The 27564-nt window shown below is 35.0% G+C and overlaps 1 protein-coding gene across 22 annotated transcripts in view; it reads right to left on the reverse strand.

Annotated features, from left to right (window-relative positions):
- Positions 1-27564, reverse strand: part of PDE1A (phosphodiesterase 1A) — a 576757-nt gene that overhangs the window by 116733 nt on the left and 432460 nt on the right. For all 22 annotated transcript variants that reach the window (XR_007076388.1, XM_047444688.1, NM_001395258.2 and 19 more), the window contains one exon: positions 7528-7641. Coding sequence is in view for 20 of the 22 variants with exons in the window: in XM_047444688.1 (XP_047300644.1) it covers positions 7528-7641 (114 nt within the window). In the remaining 2 variants the exon portion in view is untranslated. The remainder of the gene's footprint in view (positions 1-7527; positions 7642-27564) is intronic.

Here is a 27564-nt window from a genome sequence, read left to right on the forward strand (position 1 = left end):
TACAGATACCAACCTTTCATCCTAAAAACAATGTGAACAAAAACATACAAAAAGGATTCCTCAAGTATATGTCCAAATCAGTAGATTGGTCTATCTCTGTTTTTTGTACTCGAGCAAATTCTGGAAAAATAGTCTATACTAATTTCTTCACGAAGCCATTCCACATTAATTCCTCATAGTATCATCTTCTGGCTGGTAGCTTTTTCTCTTTGCTGAAACTCTACTTCAGGGCATTAGGAATCTCCCAACTCATCCAGTGGTTCACCCTGTGGCATTTGATTTACCCTTTTCAGTAACCCTGCTTTCTGTTAATTGGGCAATTCATATTTGTCATATATGCCTGTTGCTTTGGTGTCTATTCTTTCTAGTCTCCTCTTTGGTAGCTCCATGCCTTGCCTTAAATACTCAAGTTTTCCTTAACTACCTGCCTGTCTTTAACTACCCTCCTGTTCCACACCTCCAATTTTATCCCCTCCCTTGATTTAAATTAGTGGGATAACATGGTAGCCCATTTTGATATGGAATTCCAAGCGTTTTTTAAACCTTAATAGTTGAAAGTGAAAAAACTTTGACATTTGAAAAGTCAAAAAATTGGTTTAGTCTACATAGATAGGCTTTATTTTACCTTCAGTGCAGACTAATTCTTTTGTTTTATAAAAAATACTTTGAATAGGTCTTTTAGTTACACTAAAAAAAGTAAGGGCTCTCCTTTGGCATTTAGAAGACTGAGACAATGGGATTCCAAGAGGCTAAACATCTCCAGAAAGTAATGCTCAAGCTTGTCTTCACCATGAGCACAGCTGCATCACTCTCAGGTTCTGTGTCCTTTAGAAAACTGTCATGTTTTTTCTAAATGTGAATTTAGACTGCACAGTCTTTTAACATAGGGGTTGATCCTTAGAGATGAATGACATTAATTTTGATTGGCCCCTATCTTTATTTTAGTCACAGAACTTGAGGTCCTGAACTCAGGACAGCAAGACATGTCAAAAGGACTTCTGTAGTGGAAGGTCTCTGTGACATGGGCATCAGGCATTAGAGGATGCACCAAGATGCTTGATAAGGGACCTCTATGAAAGGGCTTAAGTTGTAGATTTTTGAAAGCATCTATCAGCTGGGCGCGGTGGCTCACGCCTGTAATCCCAGCACTTTGGGGGGCCGAGGCGGGCAGATCACGAGGTCAGGAGATCGAGACCACCCTGGCTAACACGGTGAAACCCCATCTCTAGTAAAAAGACAAAAAAATTAGCTGGGTGTGGTGGCAGGCACCTGTAGTCCCAGCTACGCGGGAGGCTGAGGCAGGAGAATGGCATGAACCCGGGAGGTGGAGCTTGCAGTGAGCCGAGATTGTGCCACTGCACTCCAGCCTAGGCGACAGTATGAGACTCCATCTCGAAAAAAAAAAGAAAAGAAAAAAAGAAAAAAGAAAAAAGTAAGCATCTATCACTAATGCCTTATTGCAATTATAGCTGATTTTAGCTTCAGTTTGGAGAACAGGAGGAAGGGATTGAACTCATGCTTGGGATCCTGGCTATACACAGCTGGACTTGAGGAAAAAAATAGGTAAGAAGAAAAAAATGCAAAGGAACAATTCATCAGTCTGAAGCCAGAGAGCTGGCTGCAAAGGAAAGTGACAGCCAGGACAGACTGGTGAAATAAGTAAACATTCACTGACCATTCTCAAGAACTTTAGGATGGAGAACATATTCAAACAGTAAAGGAGCTCCAACTATTGAACGTTAGCATCAAAGTAAAGGTATTTAAAAATTCTGAGACCCTTGAGTTATAATTCATATCTCTAAATGGCACTATATTTCTGAGCTTCCATGCACATATATCTAGCATATTCCAGACATATTTTACCTTTAGTCCTCTTGTTAGAAGCCATGTCTTTAAGAATAGGCAGGGAGAGCTTTGCCAGAGAACAAACTCATTAATACTCAAAAATGCCTGCAAGTCTAGAAGTCTAGACATATCTGGTTTGGAAGTCTGACTCTGTATAAATTCTTACCCCATTCTTACCCCATGTTACTCCCTCTGGTTATCAGTTACTGTTGATACTTGGTGTTTCCTCCTTGTAATCTGTCACTGTTGCTTGGGTCTCTCTCTAAATCTCTCTGTTTCTTGTTTGAGCATTTGTTCTTGTGCCTAGGTTTGTCTTCACAATTCTAGACCCAGTTCTAGCCACCAGCTGCCTGCACAATTTTGCTCCTGATTCTGATTACCAGTGTGTCTGGTATTCATTTCAGGTACTCAACAGGTATTTGTTAAATGAGTGAAGATTCCTTGGAAAGTCCCTCTACTCAGTAATTTCAAGGATCTTAGCCTCTAATGTACCCTAAATGACGCTCAATTTCTTTCTACCAGACTAACTTCTCAAAGTACTGATTGACATCAATGCAGTATCTAACCCCAAATTAAGGATCCCTAGATTTAGCAAGACGCAAAAGTCAACTGATGTTTTTACAGAGATAATGTGACTCTGTATTAAGGGAAAGGCACTCTTTTCCATAATTTTATGCTTTCATTCCTTGGTGACCAGTACCCGTTTTCATTTTCTCAGGATTAAAAACTGCTCTCAGGGAAGCATTTGTTACCTTTATTAGAATATGTAAATCATATAGCTTCATGTGTTATGTATCCCAGAGTTATTTGCATTTTACTCATACGTAATAAATAAGAATTTTATTTAAAATAGAAATATCTTGTTATTATTTAAATTTTACTCTTAGGCATTGTTACACATTTAATTCTCATATCAACTTTACGAAGTGAACATTGTCCTTACTCTTATTTTGTAGATGATAAAGCCAGGGATGTAAAGTAACTTCCTTAAAGAAAGAGTATTAAGTAGAGAATCCAGACTTTGAACAACCTACTCTTTCTGAATCCAGAGTCTAAGCGCTAATCATCGAAATTATGAGACAGATTGGTTCATGTTAAACAAAGAAAGTTATAAATTGTGTTTTTAGGAGGTATTAGTAAGCACAATACCGATCTTGAAAGTATATCTCTCAGGCAGCTGCCTGCCCTGCTATGCATGAGGCCAAAAATGCTACTTTGCTTGGCAATATCCCAATCCAAATAAGGACAATCGAACATATTTTTTTAGGCTACATGTTTCTGGATTAAAACTTTGTAAGTTTGAAAAACAATAGCCTCTAGAGACAGTTCTGAACACAAGACTCATAAAGGATTGGCATTTGCATTTGAAAATGTCTTTTAAAAAATCCAGCAGTCATATTCATTAGGGTATTGTGCTATTATCTCCACTAAGAGTCAGAATTCAGAAACTTTTTATTTTTCTCACCAAAATCATCTTTAAAGGGAGATTTTTGTTTTGATTGCTTTCTTAACTGAAATTCTGCAATCATTAAGGCTCTGTATGTGTGTGTGTTTTAAACCAATTAATAATTTGTGTTTTACATTGCTTTATTTTGTGCTGACTTTTTTCTTTCAGTCCAGCTCAACATTCAAACAATACCTCTCTGGAATACTCACGGCATCGAATTTTCTATCAAAAAACATTTCAGAAGTCAAAAGGTTTTTAAAGTTTAAAAGCAACTAAATGCTTCTTGGACCTGACTCCTTTTACATAATCTCTGTTTTACTGATAGTTTTAAGGGAAATGGTACTTTAATAATTGTATGGACATCTCAACAGAAACATCCTCAGTTTACTGCTGTGTATCTTACTAAGTATATAGAAAATCAACCACATAAATTATTATTGTTCTAAAAAATCTTAAGCTGATATTTTGATCATGAAATCGCAGCTCTTAGGAGATTTGTAAGAGGTAATCTTAGGTCTGACCTGTGGTATGATGGTAAATGTTTAACAACAGACTCTCCAGAAAAAAATAAATTCTGATTTGTAGCATGTTATTTTTCATGGGTGTGGATACTCCCACGGTAGCCATTTTCAAGCTAGCCACATGAAACTACTGAAGGCAGAATTGGAAAGAGATGCCACACAATCAGTACACCACTGGGGCTGATGATCCTGACAACCTGTGCACTTTCATCAAACTTCAGTGTCTCTGAAGTCACCTTTTCATCAAATGTTAGAAAAGGGATGAGGATGAGAATTGCACTTCATAGCCCAAGCCCTAGGGTCAGACTGCCAAGGCCCTAATCCAACTCTTCAACTCCCTGTCTTCCCTTTGGTAAGCTATGTAACTTTTCTGTGATTTAAGTTTTCTCATATACAATCTGGTAATAATAGAGTTTCTATTTCATAGGACTTTTATGATGTTTAAATAAAATGGTATATATAAAATGCTTAGAAGATTTTTTAGCATATAGTGGGCCCTTAATACGTGTTAGCTACAGGATTTACAATTCCAGCTATCAAAATGTTTTATATGTTGTCATCTAAATCTTTCAGAGGTCACTAAAAACCATTCTGTTTTATAGGAATACTCTGAGAAGAGTCAGGTATAGAGGAAGGAGTACTAAATAAGAAGTCATGGGTTAGGTTTTAGTCCCAGTTTTGCCAACACTTCCATCCATGACCTGTGTCAAACCGTTTCCCTTCTAAGAGCTTTAATTATCTCATTAGTAAAATGCAGAAAGTAATAATCATCCTGCCAATCACATAGGATTGTGGTGACACTAATGTGAGATAATGAAACTAAGAGCCCTTTGAAGATGATACAAATGTGGGGTATTATTATTAATCCAATTTAAAACTCATGATGCCATGGAAGCATTATAATAAAATAATAAAAATTTGGAGTAAATATTAGGAATAATGTGGTGTTAAAAGATGGAATGTTTTGTTATGTGAAGGAAAAAAATAAATGAATTTCTACCACGAAGCAGGGCAGCGTTGTGCTCAACCTCTTTTCCCCGCAAAAGAGCAATTTTCAAATGAAAAAGGGCTATACTTTAGGTATAATATACATTTAAATGAGTTAGGGATCATAGGGAACTAAGTTAGCAAATATCCATGGAGTCATACTTCTCAGGGAAAGGAAATGCACCAGAAAAATGAATAAATAAATAAAGCATATAATAATCTATTAAATGACAGACAGGACACTTAGGCAAACCAGGTAGTTAGCATTATGCCATTAGAAGATGAATAACGAAATCTTCAAATCGTTCTTTGGTTCTAAAGTTTTATAGATAAATAGAAAAGAAAATATCTGTTCAAGGACAGATTGAATAAATCTTAAACCTGTTAAGTTGAATCATCTTGTGAACAATAAGAGCACACATAAAAATGAGGGAGCAAGGGAAAAACATCAGATATTTTTAAAATTTGCACTTTGGATTCTGTTTACTTAGAAGAATCATGTACATTCATACACATTCAGTGAACATTCACCAAGAAAATAATTTCTTTCTTTCTCCTTTCTTTCTTTCTCTTTTCCTTTCTTTCTTTCTCTTCTTTCTTTCCCTTTCTTTCCTTTTTCTTTTTTTCTCTTTCCTTCTTTCTTTCTTTTTCTTTCTCTCTTTCTTTCTTCTTTTTTTATTTCTTCTTTCCTTCTTTTATTCATTTATCTATTGACATGATCTCACTCTGTCACCCAGATTGGAGTGCAGTGGCACAATCTCAGCTCACTGCAACCTCGGCCTCCCTGGCTCAAGTGATCCTCCCACCTCAGCCTCCCAAATAGCTGGGACTACAGACACACGCCACAATGCCTGGCTAATTTTTGTGTTTTCTTGTAGAGATGAGGTTTTGCTATGTTGCACAGGCTGGTTGTGAACTCCTGGGCTCAAAAGTGATCCGCCCACTTCAGCCTCCCAAAATGCTAGGATTATAGGTGTTAGCCACTGTGCCCAGCCTGTTTCCTTTTCCTCAAATAATTTCTCCAAGCTATGCTTTAGTAGAGGAGTTTCACTCTGCAGACAAAGAAAGAATCGCTTGTGCAACAAAGCTCTCAATATGGCCTCTTCTGCCAGCTATTAGTAAAAATTCTCATTGTCAAATATTTAAAAAATCAGAATAAAATAAAAGGAAACTTTTAAGTTTCCTTTTTCAGTGAAAAAAGAAGAATGAGAGACTGTTTACGTAGTATACTACCTTCCATGAAAGGATGAGGCAAAAATACAAAATAAAAATATGTAATAAATCACTGGAAAGATGTATAAGAAATTTATGAGAAACAGAGTAGACTGTGACCAGGGTAGAGGCAAGAATTTCATCATGTGAATTTTTTACTTATTAAACAATGTGTGTGTGTGTGTGTGTGTGTGTGTGTGTGTGTGTATCTGCGTGCCTGTGAAGTCCAGTACACATAGGTAAATAAAAACCAATGTTATTTAGTTGCCCATCCAGTTTAACATTGCTCATCTTCCCCAAGCTTAGGCCTGGGACAGGCATGGACTCCTGCTGAGTGGAAGGGGCCTAGTGGGTGTCCTCACCTCCATATTCCCACTCACTGCTGCTTCTGGTTGTTTAGCAATGCGGTGCGAGAGGCAGGAAATTATAGGACCAAAGGGTCTGGCTAGACTGGTGGTTTTGCTGTCATCTATGTGACAAATGCCCAAATGCTGCCTATTTTTTTTCTCCTGGGGACCATTTGTGGGTCCTTCAGAGACAACTTGCTAACACCAAGAGAGTACTTTGAATATATATATTTTCTACTATTTTAGCTGAATTTTTATAATTCCTACCCTGGCTCTTATACCATCACTTACTCTATGCAGCCTCTTTTTCACTATTTGACTTAAGTAGTCTTTGGTGCTTTAAGAGACCTCTATTCTACCTGCTTTATGGCTGTGAAAAAAATTAGCACCTTTTCCATGTCAAATGCTGGAAATGCATGCCTCTCTCCCCACAGGTTCCCTCTTAGCTCTGAATTCACAGGTAGCCCTGATTAGCCTGTCACTTTTATCCTTTTTGAGAAGAGAATTAGGAACCAGATATCTTTGAACACCAAGAGACACTGGTCACATCTCCTGGATTTGCCAAATATCCTCCAGGGGGTGAACAGCCTCTTTGAGGGTCACAGCACTAAGCTGGCAACCCTCTTCAAATAAGTCCCCCTTTCCTAATCTCCTTACAACTGCTAATTATGAGGCTAGGTTTGGATGATCAAAAACACACATTTGGGATGCCCCTTAGCAATCCCTGCATAGAGGGCCTGTTAGACACATCTCATGAGAATGTGTGGGCATATAACACCCATTTTCCTAAAGGGACTCTGACATTTGAGATAATAGGGAAAATCCTTACATCAGTGAAAACCAGTATAAGCCTACACGTAACTCTGACATTTAAAAGTCTGAGCCCAAGGAGACTGAGGATGGGGGAAGAGGAGATTTTTTTTTCACTTTAGTGTTTGACTATCTTATGACATTCAAACATTTGGATTAAAATGTGTATTAATTTTAGAGAATCATAGTCCAGTTAATTAGCTACATGAAGAAGAACATTTCAAATTTTAATAAGATTTGATTTTGGTTTCACAGGAAGATATGCTAAATTCCTGTTTGAGATAAAGGAGGGTCAAGAAAGAGGAAGAAAAACGGGAGAGAATCAAAGAAGATAAAAGAGAAGAAGGTTAAAACTTACCTTGTTTCATCGATATAAACTGCTTCCAGCACAGATGCCGCATATTCAATATTCTTCTTTAAGTCGACGACGTTAACATCACCTCTTTCCAGCTGCTTCACCAAGCATCTTAGTCTATTTCAAAAAAGTAGCCAAAGAGAGAAAGAGCAAGGAATTTATTGTAACTATATGGAAAATAGTACAGTATTAAATACACTCAGTTAAGATTTTTAACATAGCTATTTCTAGGTCAACAAATAGCATTATTTTCAGATTTTTTTTTGATATAATTAAGACCAGTCTTTATTATGTAAGGAATTATTAGGTATTATATTCAGCTCGCAATAATATTAGGAGTATGGGTAGCTAGTTTAAGTATAATATTTCAGAGATAGTCTTCCTGAAAATTCAAGACAATATAGACATTTTCAGAAAAGTATATTCCTATAATTTATTCTATGGTTTTTCTGTTTTTTTAATGTTGGCACTAGGAGAATATTCAAAGGACACTCTTCTTAATTCACAGTTGCAAAAATATGGAACCAACCTAAGTGCCCATTGACCAATGAGTGGATAAAGAAAATGTGGTATATATATACATATATATATATATGTATATATATACACCATGGAATACTACTCAGCCATAAAAAGGAATAAAATAGTGTCTTTTGCAGCAACTTGGATGGGGCTGGAGGCCATTATTCTAAGTTAGGTGACTCAGGAATGGAAAGCCAAATATAGTATGTTCTCACTTATAAGTGGGAGCTAAACTGTGAGAATGCAAAGGCATCTGAATAATATAATGGACTTTGGGGACTCACAGAGGAAGAGTGGGAGGGGGTGTGGGATAAAACACTATATATTGGGTACAGTGTACACTGCTCGGGTGATGGGTGCACAAAAATCCCAGAAATCACCACTAAAGAACTTATCCACGTAACCAGAAACCACCTGTACCCCCCAAAAAAACTACTAAATAAATAAAAAATTAAGAAATAAAATTAAAAGAAGACTTCATAAAATAAACAAAAAAACAAAGAGTGCTTTTCTGACTGCTAGATTCGCTATTATTCACTGTATAAAGCAATAAAGACAGACGAAAGGCAAACATTATTTTAAAAGTTAATTGAGACAAGAAAAAATATACGTATGTGTCCTTAGTGTATTTACTGCACTCATTTTTCACCTGAGGCAAATTTGAAAATATTTTCTCATGTTTGAGTCCTTAGGATGATGTGTCCCAATGCTCTGAGGAATTTTAAAGTATAGGACTCAGCTAGATGCCTGAGTTACAGAAACCACGAGATAATTAATCTTAGTGTATTAAGCCCCAAGCCTTGAGATAATTGTTATATAGCAATAGGTAACTAATAAAGTAAGGTGATACAAATTACCTTAACAAGTTTGTAACAGCTTTGGCAACTTCTATGCATTAAATTGTAAGCTGCGTGTTTCTGAAGATACTGCTCTTTACCAAGTACAAAAGGAACATATTCCTTACTCTCTCCATACTACAGATAAGCAATATGAAGACTACTTGTCTATTTTCCTAAGTCATCAGACAGAATTTAATTCCATTCTATTCAGAGGTATTGCAAAAGAGAGTAGATTGCGGCTACTTTTAGGCACTCCCTTAGAGATAATTTAGCAGATTTCCTAGCAATTTATTTTGGATAATTTTCAATGCCAAGGGTGAAGATACAAAGGCAAGTTAAGAATTTCAGCAAAGGTATTTGACATTTCTCCACCCATAAGCAATAGTTCATTTCTCTATGGGAAAAAAAAGACACACCTAAATGAAAACGTCTTACTCAGGAAGCTGTAAACAATTACTTTTTTTATGCCATTTACTTTTGTATGATAAAATATCAGCAGGCAATAACATTGAAAAATAAATTGTATATACCAATAAATAAGTCTTATTAATACAGAATAAGCAAAACAAAGCACAACAAAAAGGCAACCAAAACAGGTTACTTAGAAAGGAAAAATTAAGCCTGGCTTTGAGGCTTGTCTGAAACACCAAATGTGGTTATAATGGATCAAGATACAGAGGGTTTTGAGATTTTTGTAATGGTTATGACCCAAGAACATTATTCTTAGTCAAACTGTCCTTTATTTATGAAAGTAGAAGATAGAGTTTTTGTTTTTCCATAGTCCTGCAATGGCTTAGAAATATACTATCATATGTCTTTCTTGTGAAAATTACTTGAGTTCAGCTTGGTAATATAAGGTGGCTTAAAAACAATAGTACTTCAAAGGGTTGCCTTCCTTTTCCCTGAAAAACTGCATTCTACTTTTATTTGTTAGCGATTTTCCCACTAAAAACACTACATTTTCTAAGCTCTCTTGAAGCTAGGTATGGTCACATGAGTAAATTCTTGCCACAGATGATGTGCATGGAGGTTGTTGGTGAAACTTTCAGAACAGTTCTTTGGAGAGAGCTAACTGTACCGGAAGGAGTTCTCTTGCTGTCTGGAATGCAGCGGAACTCTCTAAAGGCCAGCAGCCATCTGGGATCATAAATGACCTGGCAAAAGAAAGCCACACACTAAGCATGGTAGAAAAGAAAAAATGGAAGTGGCCTGGATATCATGCTATGGGTCCACCTGAATGAAATCGCCCATCTCTGGACTTGTTTCTGATGCAAGAACAACAAAAATTGCATTTAAGCCACAATTATTTTGTGGTTTCTTTTATAGGCAAATGAACCCAAAACACACTGATAAATGAATAGAGAATGAAGCAAAATAAGGTTGTCAAGAATGGAGAAATCTTCATTATCAAATGAGATGATGAGTACCCTAGGAGACCATGGACAAGTGCATTTCCTAACTCACAACAGCCTGTGGTTGTTCCTAGGGGATTCATCCCATCTGCAACTATAACTGATAAGACTTGTGAAAATCAAGAGGCTCTAATGCTTGCACAATGAACATGCCCTTTCACACAGAGATCTCAATGTGGTTTAAAAACAAAATATTATGAATTATGTCTTGATAATTCATAATTAGGTATATAAACCTATAATTGGACATAAAACTTCCACTGGGGAAAAACACTTCAGTAAGGTTTTACCACCCAATTAGAAAATGTAATCGCATATAGTTATAACTCAGTAAAACCATATCCCCTCATGCACACATGCACACACACACACACACACACACACACACGCCTATATTCACTATGCCAACCCCAAAAGACTGGATAGAAATGTATATTGGGGGGTTACTAGGACTCGTTTTTTCTCCTTTGCTTCTTGCACTAAATTTTCATTAATGAGTGCACATTTCTATTTACATAAAAAGGAAAACCTTTATATTGTAAAAATATTATTTACAACTAGAACACGAGCTTAATGGAATAATTTATATTATTATTACTATCCTAATTGTAATCATTTATATCATCACTATCCTAATTGCAAATATGCTTTTGTAATCAAATTATATATACAACAATCCTCAACAATCTTATTTCGGCTATTATTTTACTTTCTTCCTAGATAATACAAGGTCAAACATCTTCATGAATAATTTTCAAATGATTGTATGTTCTGTACTGGTGGGTTCCAAAGTGTTAAGGCTTTATTGTATATATCTGTACAATTTTTTTTATTTTTAAGATAATCACATCCTATTTACCTAATTCTTAAGCCATCCAATAGACAAATTCTCAGAGCTGAAAATAAAATATTTTATGCACAAAGTCATGTGCATAAAATAAACAAGTTCCCTTAATTTAGCAAAAATTCTTTTTAATAATGATTTTGCTTCTTTCATCAATCAGGGTGGACAAGCTGAGTAGAAAACAATGTTCTTAATTTCTGGCATAGATAAGTTGTTCTGGTTCCCAAAGCTTAGGGTGAGGGCATGTTCTTGATGTTCTAATCTGAGCAGTTTCTGACCCAGAAAATTGTGGATGAGGACGGCTACTGTGTTTGGTAGCAAACCAAGTTAACAGCTGTTGTATCAAGCAGTATAGACAACTTTGCTAAAAAGGTGTTAAAAAACCCAGTTCAGTTAGATAAATGATTATTGGGTATCTATTACTGCACCTAGGGCTGTGTAAAAGAATAAATATCTATATATAGATATTAGTACATATATAAGAATACATATGTATACATTAGTTTATATATACAAGGATACACACAAAACCACACTTATATATACATATATACATATATAATGCATGGGTACCTGTGTGTGTGCACAACAATACCTTCTTCAAGGTATTTGCAATCTCTGAGGGGTGTATGACATGCAAACAATGTGGTCAAATGTCAAACTGCAGGTATTTCCCGTTGCTTCTTTTATGCACACCCTAATTTCTAAGCAAACTGGTGTAGTCACTCTTCCTCAAAAACCCTCACATCATCTTAGATCCCAGTGCTTCTCTCTTGCTGAACTCTCTTTCTCCCATGTTCCTACCATTTGTTACTGTCTTAAATTATGTTTGGTTACCAGGCGTATCTGAGATGCTACCTATCTCGTAAGTCCTTTGAAGATGCCTGTTCATTGTGATCACTCCCTACATAGAAACTAAGCCACATTTTATTTGTTTCTCATTGACAACGTTCACATTTCTCTGACTTTCATATAATTTCAACTTTTTGATATGATAGTTCCCCAACTGGTCTCTCAGCAAATAAAAAATTTTCAGGCATGCAAACAAGCAGAAAAATTCACCCATGATGAGGATAAAAATAAATGAGTTAAAATTAACCCAGATATGACAAAGAAGATAAATTAGTAGACAAAAATGTTGATTGTTATTATACAAATAAAATAATATAAACAACATTATGCCAATAAATTCAATAACTTAGATAAAATGAATTATTTTCTTAAAAGACACAAACTAACAAATATCAAGAAGAAACAAATAAATGAAATTTGTAGCTAAAAACCCTTTGCATAAGAAAACTCCTGGCCTAGAAGACTTCTCTGGTAAATTTTGGGAGGCCGAAGCGGGTGGATCACCTGAGGTTGGGAGTTTGAGACCAGCCTGGCCAACATGGAGAAACTCCGTCTCTACTAAAAATACAAAATTAGCTGGGTGTGGTGGTGCATGCCTGTAATCCCAGCTACTCAGGAGGCTGAGGCAGAAGAATCACTTGAACCCAGGAGGAGGAGGTTGTGGTGAGCCAAGATCGCCACGATTGCACTCCAGCCTGGGCAACAAGAGTGAAAAATCTGTCTCAAAAAAAATAAATAAATAAAAATAAAAAATAAAAAAATTAAGGATGTAATAATATTTTATACATACTTTTCCAGAAAATTGATCAACTGTAAATACTTCTGAACTCATTCTAGGTGACCAAATTATTTTTATAACAAAACTAGATGCAATCATTGAGGAGGAGGAGTTCTATTTATATAAAATTTGAGAAAATGCAAATGATCCTAATAGTGACAGAAAGTAGATACTAGTTGTTTAAGAATGAAGAAAGCAAGAATCAGGGAAGAAGAGGTTCAAGGAAACTTTTGAGAGTAATGGATAATGTTAATTTTCTTGTTATATGGTGATGGTTTCACAAGTGTATACCTGTGTCTGCACTTATCAAATTGCAAATTGCAAGCTAAAATATGTAATCAGTAATTTGAGAAAGAAAAAGGCTATGGGCTAAATAGAGGCTATTGGTATATACCTTCATTTTTCATCTATTTTATTAAAATATTTAGAATTCTAAGTTATATTATCAAAGACATGAAAAAAATCTAAAGCATCATTAATGATCTTTTCCCAAAGAGAATGACACAAATCTTTGATAATTCCTAAGACTTTAAAAATCAGCCTGAAAATATGTGCTGAGCACACTTTGATCTGCTTAGTTTTTAAAGGGACTTCCTTACCTTCTAACGATCAGGACACATAAAAGAAGACAGAAACAAAAATAGCAATACCATCTTTGAAAGCAATTGATTGGCTCTGTGGTTAAATCAAGCAATTGCAGAAGACACATAATTTCTTCTTTTGAACAAAGAGTACTGAGTTGTAGAAAATTATTGAGTATTTTAATTCAAATACAGAACTGCTACATTCCAAATGAAAAGTTACTCAATGTCAAATGATGCAGTTTTTATAACCAAGTACTCTGAATACCTTCTAAGCTACCGTTACATAACCCAATCTTGCAGAATGACCACCTACATAAGTAACAATGTTCTCATATGGAAAAATCCTGTGTGTCTATGCATGTCTTTTTAAATTTTAGGATACAAAATACCCAGGATATCCCTCATGTGACAGAGCATGAATAAAACGTAATAATTCAATAAATAAAATTTATTAAAATAATTTATAATTATTATATAACTATCAACGTTCCCACTTGTGATCTGATTGAAATACAAAAGTGAAAAGGATATGGTTGTAAGAAATCCATACTAAGAATCAGAAGAGCTAAAGTTAAAAGAAATTATATACCTATAATATATATTAATATTAACATTAAAATCTGGCCATAAGCAGAAGCGCATGAAATCGCATAAATAGAAACTATCAGAACAAGAAGCTACTGTGTCATTTTCAGTAAGTCCTGCTTGACTCTAAAACAATAAAAAGTTGATAATAAAATCTGTTAAATAATGAAGTCTTATCTATTCTGCAGGTCGATGCTCAGGAAATTAAACCCTAACCTTAATCTAAAATGCAGGGTTTATGGACGTAAAGACTTTTCCAGTATTTTTTTCATACAGGCAAATATAACTGTAAAGCTCCATGATACCTTTATTTTATAGGATAAATAATTCCCCAAACAATTTCTATAATTGAACACAATGAAAACAAACGGGATCAATGGCATAATGCACAGCATGAGGACTACACTTAATAATATTGCATTGTACACTGGAAATTTGCTAAGAGAGTAGACTTTTAGGTACCTTTACCACCAAAAAAAAAAAAAAAAGCTACCTATGTGAAATGATGGATATGTTAATTTGCTTGAGTGTACTAATCATTTCACTGTATATGTATATAAAACATCATGTTGGTCTACCTTAAACATATACAACAAAAATAGTATGGCAAACAGTATTACTCTTAAAAATGTGTTTACAGTCTACATTTAAAGGAGCAAAATAATCCTATTGAAGCAGAGAATATGTGACTGAAAAAAACTCTTTTAAGTACAAAGGAATATATTCTCTCTTCCCCAAAAGTCACAATTTAGGTAAACTATTTCTTTACTTCAAGAGGTATTAACTTTTTCTACAAAAATGGACATTATGTAATTTCCAGTTTGTTGAAGAGTTCCTCGTAAGTACAGAGATGTAAACATTCAAAGAGTTAGAAATGCTTTCAAGATCAATTTGTTTCTCCTTGAAGATAAGAAAACAGTAAGATCATATCGAGTCTAAACAAGGAACCAATCAAGTGTTTCTGGTCAGTGTTAACCATCTGAAATAACTGAGTCATATTACATCATTTAACTGTGGTATAATTTTTATATTGTTCAAAAAGAAATAGACAAAAGGGTATTTATGGTTTGCATTAACTCCTGGTAGATTAAAAAATTTCTTTATTGGTGCTCACCACTGAAACATTAATATGACTTAATAAACTGAAACAGAGACTGAAAAGAACTATTAAGAAACAAACAAAAAACTTTGAGAAAAGAGATTGATACATGATGCAAAAACATGCTACTTTTTAAATGGAATAAATGGTGATGAAAGGGCTTTTGGAAATTAACACTAATAATTTACATGAAAATGTCAACAGAAGGGGTAGAGGAAAAGTCCAATTTCTATCCCAGGAAGTGGGCAAAAAGACAGCAAGATGGATACTAGAATAATAAAGAAAAACATTAGAGAGCCGGTTTGGGAGATCTAATATCCAGCTAATTGGGGTTCTACACATAAGGAATACAGAAGAGAATTAGACAAAATTATCAAAGAAATAGTCACTTTCCCAGAACTTAGAATCTCCATGCTGAAAGGACCTCCCAAGGCCAGCTTCATGGGCATGTACCTGTGCAGTCACTCAGGGCCTTGCACTTGGGAGGGCCCTGCACTTTCCTTAGTGCTCTGCTGTCGCTATCTTGAAATTCTTGATAATTTTGAGCAAGAAACTGCATATTTTCATTTTTTCACTGGGTCCTGCATGTTATGCAGATGGTCTTAGGTCTGACCTAGAATTCTATACTCAGCCAAACTCTCAATCTAGTTTGAGGAAAGAATAAAGGCATTTTCAAATATTCAACAACTTCAAAAATTTGAATTTTCATGCACTCTTTTTCAAGAAGCCACTGAGGAGATGCATTTGACCAGTACAAGAACATAACAGAAAATCTAAGACAGGTAAGTTGGGAAGGGAAGTCTTACAATAAGAGGTATGTGTCCATCCTGGAAACTAACTAGTCCAGATTGAAGTATGAGTACAGAGGAAAGGAAGTGTGAGAGAAACCTGTAAGGGAAAAAATGGAACTAATGACCAATGGAACTGATAGAATGTTTGGAAATTCGTTTTGACAGATCAAGCATTTACAAAATTGTGAAATATATGTATGAAAAAATACAATAATTATGAATCTAGGAGGAAGAAAGAAGTTGTATGAGATAGGAAACAGTCATAGTTTACTATCTGATTGACAGTTGAATAATATATACAAAGTCATATTACTATAAACACTAGTAATTTTAAAACAAAATAAGGCACAATATCTCTTTTGAGAACATTAGAGTAAGGAAGTTGATGAAGTTAATGTACAAGAGTTATTTCCTCTATTATCATTGTGGATGTCCATAAAGTCTGAAATTGATAAATCAAGAAAGAATACAGCATTTTATTTGGAAATATAAATCTTCCTCCAAAAGAAGGAAGGACTAAAAGAGCTAAAACATTGTGATTATTCACTTCTGGGGAATTGACTGATATCTTTTGATAATTAAAAAAAGAATTTTAATGATGTAGTTCCCTATTTAAGTAAAATGTCCAAGTCACAAGGAAAGTGACTTAACTTAGAAGTCAGATCCTTTACTTGGTAGTTTTTGAATCACTGACCATGACAAATTTAAAAGCCTGAAAAATAAAAAGATGTCAAAATTCATCTTGAATTTAAAAGGTTTTGAAAAGGTATGAAGCATCCAAAGTTGATAGTGATGTTGAGATACAGTTCTAGGCTCTTTTAGGCATATGGCTAAGCCAAGGATAAAAAAAAATAGATTTAACATAAAAAATATATATATATATATCTTTTGTCACATATATCATGCTTATCTACTGAACTAACTGAAAACAGGCACATATTTCAGGTTTGAGGTAGACATAAAGAAGAAAATACACATTAAGTGAAAAGAGAAAGAGAAATATGATGAAACAAACTATGATGGCTGAATTTATCTTTTCTTTTTTCTTTTTGCAAAATCAGAGGAAAGAAAAAAGTGTGTTGAGTACTTTTACAAAAATCAAATTAAATTGTGGCTTAGAAAGAATGAAAGTGAGGAGATAAAAGGTTGGTTGGGCAAAGAACTCTGAGATTTGGGTGCTCCTGAAGCACTAAGGTGGTGAAAACCAGTAAAATCTATTACTATATTGGCTGAGCAAAGCAATCTCAGCACCAGTTCCACCAAAAATAACAAAGGAATGGTTAAAAGTGGTATATTAGACCAAACAAAATACCATGTACTGGGTGGCTTATAAACAAGAGAAATTTCTTTCTCGCAGTCCTGGAGGCTGGGAAATCCCTGACCGAGGTGTTGGCAGATTCAATGTCTGGTGAGGGCCTTCTTCCCAGTTCATAGATGGCTGTCTTCTCACTGTAACCTCACATGGTAGAAGGAGCAAACCAGCCCTCTGGGGTGTCTTTTATGAAGACACTAATCCCATTCAGGAGAGCTCTGCCCCCATGATCTAATCACCTCCCAAAGGCCCAACCTCCTACCGTCACCTTGGAAGGGTTAGAATTTGAACCTATGAATTTTGGGGTGACACAAATATATCAAATGGCTTGGGATATTTATTCTTAATTAATGCAGTACCATGTACCGACACACTTCAAAAATGCACTAGCAGAGAAGAAAATCTTTTAAAAATAGATTTTTACACAAACATGCATACGGAAAAAAACCACAGAAAGAAAAGTCAACATGATATTTTTCCAATTACAATAGATCACACAACACAAAAATATCTAAAAACAGAAATATTTCCATGGCAGATACTATTGGAGAGCATAGAAGTCCTTCTGTTACTCTTGATACTCAGTGATAGAAAAATTGAGTCATTTCAAGAAGCGTCTCTTGAAAGGCCAATTTTTTGGAGATACAATTTGTGGCATAAAAAGCAATCAAATCGAGTCCAAAAGAATTGATTGAGAAGACAACTTTTATTGTGAAGGTTGTTATATGTATTATAAAAATTATTTTAGACTCCAATTTGATTGATTCTCTCTCTCTCTTTCCCTCTCTGCCTTCTTTCATGTATGTATGAATACCTAAGTTTCAAGAAAAAACTAAAGTTGAATGACAAAAAACTCATATTTGGTTTTACAGAATTTCCCTTGCTTCTGTAGAAATGTAGCTTTTGTAGCCATAATCTCTCAGAATCATTGTAAATAATTCTTTCTTTATGATATCTTTGAAGCATTATATTGACATTGACAGAAGTAGTTTTGAGAACGCATCATCACTGGTATAAACTTCTGAGTTGCTTAGCAAGGCTTAACAATAAGAATAAAAAATGAAATACTACTAAATAAGTTAAGGTCTAACTAGGAAAACAAAACTCTGAACATTTAAAACTAAGTTTAATTCTTGCAATTGATTACTTGGATGATGGGAGATGAGAAAACAACCAGGGAATAGTGAGGATAACCCAAATAAGCAACTGCAGGAAGCTTTTGGAGGGTCAAAAGAGGGAGGCAGGATCACCAGACCCCAGTGGCTTTGGGAGTTCCTGCAGAAGAGAGAAACACCAGTGGGGACTGCCCACGGCAATCTTGAACCACAGAAGAGACACAACTAATGTAAGAGAGGCTTCCTCAAGGCAGACAGAGAGGGAGAGGAATGCCCTGGCTTTTACCTTCCTCCTCACCTATCCTGACTTTATATGCCACTGGCCAGATCCAAGCACAAGTCAGCTGACAGGAACCTGGGAAATTTAGCTATGATTATACAGAGCACTGCAGGGCAGGGATAAAGCAAGGAATAGATCACAGGCTAGTAGGCCCAGAACCGCAATACACAGTACCCAGAAGGTGTCAGAAAGTTTTTCTTGAGATTTGCAAATAAGGCAGAAAGGTAGGTGGCATGTTGTTTCTGTCACATAAAGGCAAAGCCAACCAAAAGGTATCTAGAATAAGGTATTTAGTTCATCTTACTCTTTGATGTTGATTAAAGGGCCAAGGTTTAGCAAGGCTGTTTAGTTAACTTGCAGATTTTTGTCTGGTGTGAAAAAAAATAATTTTTATTTGGCAGAATAGGCACCCTCGTAAATTCATAATCTCATTAGACATCAACTAGATTTGCTTCTAACACAGCCATTTTATTGAAACATTGCCTATGTATATCTAACTTTCTAAATGCTCTTTCAACCAGTCATAACTTCTTACTGATTCCCTCATTATTAATGATTTAAATAGAAACATTGGCATATGCTCAATTTATATTTGCACATGACTAATACTTTTACCTTTGGAAAATTATATATTAACAAGGCATTACAAATTTTGGTACAATTAATTTCAACACCTTCAACATATAGGATAATAAATAATACTCCTAACTCTAGAAAGGAAGGAGGAATCTAAGAGATATAAAATTAATGACCAGAAAAATCATTTCCTTCCTCTCTCCCTTCCTTCCTTCCTTTCTCCCATCCTTCCTTCCTTTTTCCATTCTCTCTCTTTTCTCTGTTTCTTTGTTTCTGGTTTCTTTCAAGAAAACTAATAAAGACATGGCTCTCATGAGTTCCTAGAATGTAGACAAAAAATGAACAAAAATTGGTCTTAGAAGCTATGCTCCAAATAGCAACTGCTGCAGGAAGTCAGGGACCCCAAACGGAGGAAGCAGCTGGAGCCGCGGCAGAGGAACATAAATTGCAAATATTTCATTTTAATATGGACATATATCAGTTCCCAAAATTAATACTTTTATAATTCCTTATACCTGTCTTCATCTCAATCTCTGAACATAAACTGTGAAGATTTCATGGACATTTATCAGTTCCCAAATAATACTCATAATTTCTTACGCCTGTCTTACTTTAATCTCTTAATCCTGTTATCTTCGTAATCTGAGGATATTTGTCACCTCAGGACCACTATTGTACAAATTGATTGTAAAACATGTGTGTTTGAACAATATGAAATCAGTGCACCTTGAAAATGAACAGAATAACAGCAATTTTAGGGAACAAGGGAAGACAACCATAAGGTCTGACTGCCTGTGGGGTTGGCCACAATACAGCCATATTTTTCTTCTTGCAGAGAGCCTATAAACAGAGGTGCAAGTAGGGAAGATATCACTGAATTCTTTTCCTAGCAAGGAATATTAATAATTAAGACCCTGGGAAAGGAATGCATTCGTTGGGGGAGGTCTATAAACAGCTGCTCTAGGAGTGTCTGTCTTATGTGGTTGAGATAAGGACTGAAATACGCCCTGGTCTCCTGCAGTACCCTCGGGCTTATTAGGGTGGGGAAAAAATCCCGTCCTGGTAAATTTGAAGTCAGACCAGTTCTCTGCTCTCGAACGCTGTTTTCTGTTGTTTAAGAAGTTTATTAAGACAATATGTGCACAGCTGAACATAGACCCTCATGAGTAATTCTAATTTTGCCCTTTGCCTTGTGATCTTTGCTTTTGTCCTTGCCCTGTTTCCTCAGAAGCATGTGATCTTTGTTCTCCTTTTTTGCCCTTTGAAGCATGTGATCTTTGTGACCTAATCCCTCTTCGTACATACCATCCCCCTTTGAAATCCTTAATAAAACTTGCTGGTTTTGTGGCTCAGTTGGGCATCATGGTCCTACTGATATGTGATGTCACCCCTGGAGTCCCAGCTGTAAAATTCCTCTCTTTGTACTCTTTCTCTTCATTTCTCAGATCAGCCAACACTTAGGGAAAATGGAAAGAATATACGTTGAAATATTGCGGGCGGGTTCCCCCGATAAGCAATTCATTTGGGAATGCCATCATCCATTTGAATTTTTGATTTTTAAAAGTAAAGATCAAGTGCTGAGCATTTCCCAAGAGACCACCATAGTCTCACTGCATATGCATGACAGAATTCTCCACCTAGTTGGGCTTCTCTTGTAAGTTCATATCTGCCCCTACATGAGGCAAACAAAGCAAGTAACTTGGCAAGACGAATTTCTGATCTTAAACATAAAATAATGTACTAAACAACAACAAAAAATTGCCCTAGGTTGTCTTTAAGGAATTCTTAATGGTCTAGATCCTTGCTAGAGAGCTACTGGGTGCAAGAGAGACACCTGATTCTTAAGTGAAGTTTTTCTCATTTAACTGAGGTAAGCACAGTTCCATCTATATTGAGATGCACTGAGTTTCAGCAGGTGTTTCAGATGGAATTAAACTGCCCTGTGGAAAAAACAATATGGTATGTAACACTGTCAGAAAGCTGCTCACCTAGAATGGCTCACACTGTCACTTGGTCTTATCCTACTCTACTGTGTCCCTACCATGACAAGGTTACACTGAACAACTGTCAAGTACCATCCTCCACTACAGTGTATTCAATGTCAATCAATTCACAGTACCAGACAGATATATTTACCATATGTGGTCTGGCCAAGAGATCCTGATGACTTCTTCTTGGAAGATCAAAATTTCTTCATAAAACATATTTAATATAGTGATTAAATAGGACAATTTCTTAGTAAGTCTTGAATTCTCTACCCTTTCCTGTGTCCCTACAACAACTCACATCAAGACAAGCACTAGTCTGAAAATGGGCACATTTTCACACTTAAGGATCACATTTAAGGATGTGATTTAACAAGCTTACACAATTGAGTTGAGTCTTCTAATTTCAAAGTCTCTAGTGGATATAACACACACACAAAAGTGGATATAACACAAACAATCATCAATCTGCAGGAGAAGATGAGCTGGAGCATAAACTTTTGACATTATTTTTCCAGGTATTTAACCATAAACACTAAAAGGCTTCAGTTCTATGTTTTGGTAGACTAAGATATAGAGAAAGTTTAGCATTAAAATAGAGTCTTTAAAGAAGTATCATCAGTAAAATTTACATTTCTATCATATGAGTGGTTTATAAGTCATTTTGATTATTTAGCAGTTCATTCATAGTTTTGATCTAGTGTATAGTGGTAAATAGAAATGTTGTTTATGTATTATGGACTAGACTTCAAAATTACATGGATACTTATCAACACTAAAAATCTAACTGAAACAGTGATTCATGTTGGTCCAAATGTAAGAGGGGCCTCAGAAGTGAATACCTGTTTGACATTCCAGAAGGAGCCTTCACTCTGGTAAGTTCAACCCTGTTCTCTATAGTAGCCCAGCAATGATTAATTTGGAGGGGAAGAAAAATCTGGTAGAATTGACTAACCCAAGAATATGTGAAGTTCTTTTTACAATTTTTAACTTTTTAAAGTAAGCCAAACACAGTTTATACAGATTTGTATAGGGTATTAGGAACAGAAGCATTAATGTAAAAGCTTAAAGTTTAAATTCCAAGATTGAAGTTCATTTCTTTTCCAACTCAGATACCTTACATTGGTAAATGACAGAGACTTTTATAGTTTCTTAGAGACTCTTATAAATTATGTTCTTTTAAACAATAACCAAAATCCTAAACCAAAACAATAACCAAGGTATAATGAAAATAGGGCATAGAGGCAGGATTCTTAAAAAGTAAATTATCAGTTTTTTAGTTTAGTTTTTCATCTTATGTAGGCAATGAATATTCACTGTCAAGAGTTGGAGGATGAGCAGATTTTCAACAACGGTCTGTAGTAGGAGAAAATATGCCACTCTGTAATTCTTAGACGAGCACAACCTAAATTATCATGATGTACAGAAACTCCCAAAGCATCCCAGCACCATAAAAAAATAGAGAAATCTTATCAGTCTTCTTTAGGACTTGTTCCCTGGGAAGCCAATGACCATCAAAACAGAATGGCTTTGGTTACTGGTAAGAGCAACCTTCCTTGTAGAATATATATTCATGGACCAGATTTTTAAAATCCTGCTTTCTTTTTCTTTCCACAGTCAATATTCTTGGAAGAATATCAACCCTGAATACCTATCATGTATCCTTTACAGCTTCAATGGTATAGGGTCTACATATCTTCAGGAAAATATCTTTGTAAATCTAAATATTAAGGTTTTCTTTGGTCTTTCTCATTCTTTGAACTTCACTTTTAAAACATCTTTATTGGAGTAAATTATGGACAAAATTAAATGGCATATTTAATTTACAAATACATATAGTTTTATAATGAAATAAAATATATTTAATTTCTCTTTCTCTCTACCTATCTCTGAAATCTTTTTATAAAAATTAGCAGTTTCTTCATCCACTTAGTCCTACCCTATGTTCTGCTCACTGGGACATCTCTTTAAAAATACTTTGATTGTTTTTTTCTGGGATTTTACTCTACATTTTAAAATGGTATGCTTATTCTGCTATCTCTTGGTTTATTGATACTGGATACCACCTATTGGCCTCCTGTTACGGTGAATAAGGACTTAGGTGTTTTTTATATATCTGCTCCATTTTACCTTACCCTAAGTTACCAAAAATACTGTTTTATAATACTTGTAACATTAATAATCAAGGTTTACATTTTTATGATCAGACATACAGTGTTCATTACATAGCTGAATAGTGTATGAAGATTACATTTCCATGCCTTTGGGTTTTTTTTATTACCCAAAGTAATGAATTACTGCATTTTTTACTAACATTATGTTCTGAATGTCTATCCAAATTTTCCCCCTAAGCCCCATTTACATCTTCCAAATATCAATCAGCACTTCCTCTTTTATGCTGGAAACCTATCTTGGACCTGTATCTCTGGCTCACATTCAGATCTGTTGCTCTCCAGATCTTACACAGCTGTCATCCTGAGGCTGCCCTTGACCACATTTCCTGTTGGATTCCCTGTTTCTGGATTCTATGACCTCACTTCTGAATTTTCTTCTGTTTTGCACATTCTCCAGTAGTTTCCAAGAAAGTGTGTATGTGACATAAATCACTGAGTTTCTGAATGCTAAAAATTTTGTTCTTTCTTCCCACTTGATTGATAGTCTGACAGAATATTCTAGATTGAAAAGAATTTTCTCTCAAAATGTAAAGGCTTTTCTTCATTTCTTCTGTTAGGGGGAGTCCTATGCCTAGTGACTCTGCTCTGCCAGTTACCACTATTCCTTCTGTTTACATTTTTCAAAAATTCGCTAAAATAACCTATTCTCTAATGCCTTCTCTTTTTTTCCTCTTTGATTTTGTGGGTTTATAAATTTTTATTTTCAATTTTAGGGGGTTTCAAGCTGGAAAAAAAATCAATACATGTGACCATCCATCACCTTATTCAAAAGTAAGATTTTATTTTTTTTGCTGCCTGACTAAATTGGCAAAATGATAGTAATAAGGTGGCAGCAAGGTAAAAACTTCTTTTTAATGATGTACCTAAATAACTGCACAAACTAACAATGACGAAACAGATAAGTTACAGGGCTGGTGCAAATGGACATTACCCATTTGGTATTGGAAAAATTATAGAGATGTTTTTCACAAACAGAAGATAATCTCTTTGTTTTTTCTGGGGCAGAAAGAATAACTGAGGAAATAAAAAATAAAGAATTATAACAGAAAGTCCATTTAGATAGTAGGAAGAATCAAGTTTGATCTAGATCTCAAGGGAGTCTGTGTATTCTAAAATGCATGAGTCATTTTCATTTTTTAATTTTAGCATTAATTTTGTGTTTTCATCAGTTACTTCATTTTCCTTTGAAGGTGTGATATTCTGTCAAGTTCTATAACACGGATGCTGGTTTTCTACTGCAATTTGCTTTTAAAATGTCCAGTGGAAAGAAATGCTAAAGAACGTTATAATGAGTGCTTTGTCTTAGTGATGTTTAAAAGAACCTTGCCTCTCAAAGAAACTGCTTAAAACAAGCCTGTGGAGCAAATGGTCATGCAACTTTAAAATGCTGCCAGTAAAATAGCTAAGTAATCTCAAGAAACCCATCTGAATGCTAACCACCTAGACCAGAAAACTCAATCCAAACTCCAATAATCAACTGCTTCGTGAAAGAGCCAGCTGCTGAAAAGATGTTCTTCCTACTGCTGCTAAGAAAGAAAAAATAACTGTGCATACTCTATGTACACCATATTCAACACGTGCTTTTACAGCCAGAAGAGAACTGAAGAAATCAGTGGAGTGTGATAAATATCAGTGTGTCCAAAGAAATCAGTTTGTGAAAATTTCATTATTTTTTTAATTTTCCCCTCTCAACGGCTGCTTAGATTGTTTTACAGTCACTCTGATTTAGCAAGAGAATATTGACTGGAAGGGAAAATATTTTTTAATGCTGTGAATAAGCAAATTGTCAATTTTGCTTCTAACACTAAATGTCTTAGAGTTTAATATTAAATATAGTTAAGAAATTTTAGAAAAATAAACCTGAGACTAAAATGATAAAGAAAAGAAACAAATATATTATTGATACCATTTTGTATGTTTATTATTGATCACCCAAATCATTCACCCCATACCTGTGCCTTTCTGTCATCTGGAACAATGTTACCCTTAATGATGTTATTTTAACAGACAGAATGATGACAGTTTAATCTTGATATGGGAGTAGGCCTATCCAGTTAACTCTGGTTTCTCAACTCACTCACCTCTAACTCTTACAGAAGATATTTAAGCATAATCCTAATCTTTTACCACTATTCCACTCACTTATCCTCACTACTTTGTCACTCTTGAGCTCTTTCCTGTCTCCACTATCCATGCTCAAGTAGGTCTTGGCTACCTTTCTGCTCCAAGAAGAGATGATCATTGTCAGGAAAAGTCACTGTAGCCTCCTTACATACAAGCCTCCTTACATACATTTCAAGTTAGTGACCTGGGTCCTCTGATGTTCTGCCCTAATTTTAGCTATCAAACATCTTCCCTAAGAAAAACTTTCTATGTGAATAAAATTCATCCTTTTGAATTAATTAAGTTCATAGGTGTCATTGTTACTTAACTCAAGATTATGAAAACCTCAGCACCAAAGCATACATTCTCACCAAATTTCAACTCTCAGCTCTATTGCATGCAACACACTCAAACATCCCAATATTTGTAGGTAAGGAGACATCCATATCATATTTCATATCCTAATATTGGAGATTTGTGTTAGTTATGTGTGAGTACCTATATATAATTCCAAAACTTGGCATTATTTTCCTACATACACCAAGAATTTAATTTGTTTATTTTTTTGCAATTTATAAATGATTGACCCAATATATAAATATATAGTCTACATGCATGTTTTGTGTCTTAATAAATCTGTTAGTCCTCAATTACAATTGGCAGTCCAGTTCATTCAATAAACTATTAAAACTTCCTTAATGTTCACAAAAGCCCTAATGAAATAGTCTCAATTGGAAAATGTGGACACTGCGCCTTAAACTTTTACAGAACCTGTGCATAGCCATACTGTTGAATCACAGAAGAGGCATGTCTAAAACAAGCAGAACTTTCTCAGAATCCATGCTATTTCCATCTATATAAAGCTGGAAATAACACTAAGATTATGGGTAGTAAATTTAGTAAATACCTTAGGTGTTAATCAATACTAATAAGCAATAGGAAAGAAATATTTTCTTTTCAAATCTTAAAGTATAAACTGTCAACTCAATGTAATCGTTCCCAAGGACTAGGAAATGTAATGGCAAAGTAAAATCACTGGACACTTGTTGAGTGTCCACATATGTGTGGTCAGGTAAGTTTTACACATAGTAGTAAATGGTCACCTATATGTTATGATAAAGTGATTCTGATGTAATGTTTTGACCACCAAATCTTTCCAAAAATAATAAAACAAGTTGCTTAAACTGGTATATATCTTTGAATAGTCCACCTTATCAATATGAGAACATGGTTTTGGTATAAAGGGTACCTGAGTTACACACACACACACATACACACACACACACACACTTTAAGACTTGGTGGCAGCCTTCATTAAATGCTATATAACACAAATTATTAGATTTGAGAAAATGACAAAACAATATAGGGCTCCGGGATTTTGATATTATTTATTTATGAAACTGTTATGAGTTTTTTTAAAAAAAATCTTTTCAACTTTTAGCTCAGAAAAAAATGAGTTAAATCTTGAGTTTTACAAAGATACAACCTGAAGTTTTCCTAGAAGGAAACAAAAGATGTATTCACCCAGAAGGAAATGAATCATGCTTAGGAACTGGGGTCTGTATTTGAAAACAAAAGACAAAGAACCATCACTACAACTTGACACATTTCGACAAAGTTGTAAAGATTATGAAGTGAAAGTACAAAGGAGGAGGCTTTTCATTAAATTAGTGGTTAGCTAGGACTCTATGAAAAGCGTCATGGCTTGTAAAAGATTATCCATTATCAAACCTCATTTTAACATCTTTTTTTACAGATAGTGGAAAACTTTGATGACACATGAAGCCTATTGCCACTTAGGATTTCTAGGAGGTGGTTTTTTAATAGTAAAAGTTATAACAATCAAGTACATACCTTCTTTTTCTCTGGGATACAACTGTATCAGGTCCCAGCTTTCAAGCGGCTAGTGACCTGGCAGCCCTTACCTGGCCTATTGCAAGAATCAGTCTGGGAGAACAAGAGGCAGTAAGGAAAGGAAATGGCATATATGAAAGAACAGAAGGATATAACCTGAGGCTGCATTGTCCATGATTTTAAATTCTAGTTTGAGGAGTCTGTGTCTTACAATACATGAAAGATTTCAAGAAATTGTCAGATGAAAGTAGTTTTTGGTAAATTGACTTAGCTTACTTCTTAGCTAGAACAAATCTTAAATGCAAAATAACATTTATACTTACAAATAAATA

Source organism: Homo sapiens, chromosome 2 (genome assembly GCF_000001405.40).
Source record: "Homo sapiens chromosome 2, GRCh38.p14 Primary Assembly".
Lineage (NCBI taxonomy): Eukaryota > Metazoa > Chordata > Mammalia > Primates > Hominidae > Homo > Homo sapiens.